Raw genomic sequence first — 4,846 nt, 5'->3', positions numbered from 1 at the left:
CTAAAGAACTTATCCATGCAACCAAACACCACCTGTTCCCCCAAAACTATTGAAATAAAAATAAAAATACTAGTGCTTACATTGTTATATTGTATTGTTTAGGAAGTAATGACAAGAAAAAAAAATGTCTGTACATGTGTAGTACAGGAATGCCGTACTCTTGATGAGTCTACTCCCTTTCTGTCTACTCCTCCTGTGTTTTTACACAAGCTGGAGGAGGGATGGAGATAACTGGGATGATGGTTTATATGCAACCTGCTTGTGCATGTGTGTGTGTGTGTGTGTGTGTAACATATATAATAAATACATAAATAAAATGGAAATATTGCACTGAAAATGTTAATAGTAGTTATCTGTAGTTTGAAATTATAGAGGTTAATTTCTGTCTTGTGTTTTTCTGATCTTTGCCAAATTTTATGTTGAAGTTGGTCATTTTTTTCTTAACACAAAATTAAAATTATAACTTTTTAAAAGTGTGACAATTTAGTCAGTTGTGTCCATTAAAAGCCATGGCATTGTATTATCTATAGACTATTAAATTGAACAATAAAGTAACTTACAGGATTAGGAAATTGCATCTTTAATGTCACAAACACACATTTCTGTCTTTATTAATCACTCAGATTTTGAATAGAGAACATATTTCACTATCTTGCTCTTTTGTTTTACTAGATACTTGGGGAGACTTCTGGGATTTACTATACTCACTTATAGTTAATGAGTTTTTTGTGTATATAACAAATAATCTGGAAATTCATTATGTGATCAGCATCTCAGATACTTTACAAAGACTGGAACTTGCCCTGTGTAACTGTTAGCCTAACAGATAAGAGAATATGGAGTGTTGCTTATCATTAATAACATCAGATATACACAATCAGGAAGGTGGGAAAGATTATGCTTCTGCTAAAGATAAATGGAATTTTGGCTTATTTTGATTGACACTTAGATTAAGTGGATATAAGGAAAGTACAATCCAGAATACTAAGGTATTTTCTTCAAAATATTATTTGTGTGAACTCCATTTTAAACATTGATATGGTATTACATTGCCTGAACAGTAGCTCAGTTTCTATATGGCCAGATATTCTATGTCTCAGTTTTTTAATTGCTAGAATGAAGTAAAATATCTATTTCACAGAATTTTCAAGACACTTATGTGTAATTATGAATATATTTAAAAATAAAGAGCACTATACAAATCCAAGTATATTAGTCGGCTTGGGCTGTCAAAACACAATACCATAGACAGGTTTGTTTAAACAACAGAAGTGCCTTTCTCACAGTCTAGAAGCTAGAATTCTGAAATCAGAATGTCAGCATCATCAGTTCCTAACCAGGGCTCTCCCCTTTGTTGTAAATGGCTGTCTTCTTGCTGTGTGCTCACATGAATTTTTGTGTGCCTGGGCAGTGTGGCGGGGGAGAGAGAGAAAAAGAGAGGGAACCTGTGTGTGCACATGCTCTGATGTGTCTTCTTATAAGGGTACTAATCTCAGCATGAGGGTCCCAGCTTTATGACATCATCTAATCCTAATTACTTCCCCCAAACCATATATCCAAATACCTTCATATTGGAGGTTAGGGCTTCAACATATACGTTTTGGAGAGAACACTAACATTTTATCCATAACACCAAGTTGTTATTACTGGCAACATAATCATGGTAATTATATTAGTCAGGGTTATCCAGAGAAACAAAATCAATATGATTTGTCTCTCTCTCTCTCTCTCTATATATATATTATATCTATATATAATATAGATATAATATATAGAAATAATTCTATATATAATATATATTATACATAATATATTAAATTATATATTGTATATATAATTTAAAAAATGGCTCATGTGATATTATGGAGGTTGGCAAAGCTAAAGATCTACAGAGTGAATCTGTAAACTGGATACCAGAGAGAGTGGATGGTTTAGTTCTAGTCCAAGTCAGAAGACCTAAGAAACAGGAGAGCCAACAACGTGGTTCCAGTATGAAGCCTAGTAAGCTTGAGACCCAGGAAGAGCCTATGATTCCATTTGAATGTGAAGGAAAAAAAAATTGAAGGCAGTTAGGCAGGAAGAGCTCCCCCTTACTAGGGAGAAGGTCAGTCTTCTTGTTTTACTCAGGCTTTTACTGAATGGATGAGGCCCATTCATACTGGGGAGGGCAGTCTGCTTTACTGGGTCTATCCATTTAAATGTTAATCTCATTCAAAAAACACACCCAGAATAATGTTTGACCAAATATGTTGGCATCCAATGGCCCAGTCAACACAAATTTAACCAATGCAGTAATAACTGAACTGTTAGAAAAAGAACTGGCACCCAGACTTTTCCTGACTGTAATAATTTCATAGGTAGCACTATGTCTCCATGCTGAAATGAGCTAACAGGTGTGAAGAACCCAGCACAGTGCTCAGGAGGTAATATATATGCAGTAAATGTTCATATTCTTCCCTTTGCTTTACCCTTCCAGTAGCAACCAATTGCTCCATCAGCATCTTGAAAAGGAAACCTGGAGATTTTCTTGTTTGTTTTTGTAGGTGAACAGAGGGAACACATGGGTGTCCAAGGGAGAAAATACAGTCATGGGTTCTTAGTTTCTGTTTCTGATTGGGCCAGTAAAGCCCTGCCTTCATTCCTCTTTTCCACTTATCACTAGAGACAGAAACTAGAAACCATGGCTTTAGGCTGCTAAAAGCCTAAAACACAACACAACACAACACAACACAACACAACACAACACAACACAACACAACAGCAACAATAACGAAATAAGCCAGGACTTTAAGTCTGAAAGGCCCACTGTAAATATTTATTCTTGTAAGTTATATTTTTTCTTACCTGTCTCATTTCATTTTTTCTCTTTTTAGTTTTAGTAACTTTGTTATGATTTTCTTTTCTCTATCATTTACCTTTCATATTTAATTCCTAGAGAAGAATTGAAGTTTTGGAGCAGGCCAAACTCTTTAGAAATTACAGAAGATCAAGCAACTTGCTCAAAGTCACACTCTATTAGGAATGGCAGAACTAGACATAAGATAATTTTTTCTCCCTTCACATTCAATCATACTACTACTAAAATAGTCTGCATTACAATGTTGGTATATATTTTAAATTATTATCACTGAAAGAGGAATATATCAAAGTGCCTATTCCCCTTAAAATGATCAGGCTAAAAAGAATATATTACTATTGCCCTAGAATTTGAATGCTTTGTAAAGAAAACAAAAACTAAAATATATGAGACATTAAAATTTACCATGAACTTGCTATTTATATAATTACATAAGTAAGATAAAACTAATCCTTATATAATTAACTGTATTTTATATTTGTATATAAAATCTGCTCATTACCAATTATAAATTATAAATCTAAGATAATCATGTAATTTCTTATTAAACACCTAAACTAAAATAAAATAAGCAATTGAATTTTTAAGTTTATTTTTGTATTTAATGTTTTAACTAATCTGTATCACAGTACATAATAGACTTTTCTATATAATTCTTAATTTTTCTATTGTTAGAAAAATGAAATATCAGTAAACGTGTTTTTCATTAAAGAATATCTTAAACAGCTTTCATGCTATAGAATAAATTGCTGTTAATAATCTCTAAGACGAAATTTAGGAAAAAGTTGGTATATCATAATCCATTTGAAAGGAGAATAGGGGAAGAAAGCAATTGGTGAGCATAATCAATTATCCTAAGGAAAATATAAACAAATGTTAGCTCTGCTTAAAATCTGTTTGGAGTTTTATTGTCTTGTTTACTTTTGATTTCAAAGGGTAACAATCAGATTCACTTTCCGTAGTTACTTGTACAAGCATAAAGTAACACAGAAAGTTTATATATACACAAAAGTAAGAACAGTGATTCCCTATTCTAAGGCTCTGGTTGGGGAATGGCAGAACTGGGCAGATGGGTAACCAGATTGGAAGGAAACTTCTCATGTACACTTTTTTTTTTTATAGTTTCTTGTTTCAGAACTATGTAAATGCATACTTTATCAAACAATGACATTTAAAATTAATTTTTTTAAAAAACAAATGATTATTTCCATGTTTTATCTTGTCCGAGTAGATCTGCTGACCCAGTTTGCTGAGCTCAATATTTGTGTTTTGCTTAATGGCAGAATATTTTTCTTGGGGTCCTATTATTTGTCTGACTGCCAGAGATCTTGGTGAATATTACCTGTCATCTCTTGTAGTCTAATTAGTGTATAATCTTACAAGCATAACACACCCAAATTTGATACAATAGTAATACCCAAAGGCTCAAAAGCAGTACTTAGGAACTTAGTTTTCTATAGTGATGGCAGAAATAAATCTGTTACGAAATATTGCTGCCATGGATAATTCATTCCATGGAGGTCCTAAAAAGTGACATCCTAACTACTTTGATTCTATTATTTCTTCTAAAAAACAGCTCTAGACAAGAAGTAATCTCATGGAGATTAGGCAAATCTGTATGGCTCTAATTTCCATATGAATTGCAAGATTAAGGTTGAGACTTTGTGCCTGGAGTCTCATAAAGTGGATAAAAAAAGAGCATCACATATGTCAGGAGAAGGCACCTTAATAAAACTCAGGCTTTAGGGAGAACTGAGGCAGATGTGGAGTATAAAAGTATTTTAATTTTTCTCCCCTGTCAAATGTGGAGCAACAACTTTAAAAAGTGAATGATTTCTTTTATGGATGGACTTCAGTAGTAAAGGAAGTGCATTAGTTCAATGCCAAAGAAAGAGAAGAATTCTGTGTGTTCTGTTATGTCATAGTCCTGTGGTGAGCCCTGAAGCGTAACTTGTAGACAAATCCCACAGCAATAGTAAGGCAGACAAA

This window comes from Homo sapiens, chromosome 6, assembly GCF_000001405.40.
Source record: "Homo sapiens chromosome 6, GRCh38.p14 Primary Assembly".
NCBI lineage: Eukaryota > Metazoa > Chordata > Mammalia > Primates > Hominidae > Homo > Homo sapiens.
This window is presented reverse-complemented; position numbering follows the sequence as displayed.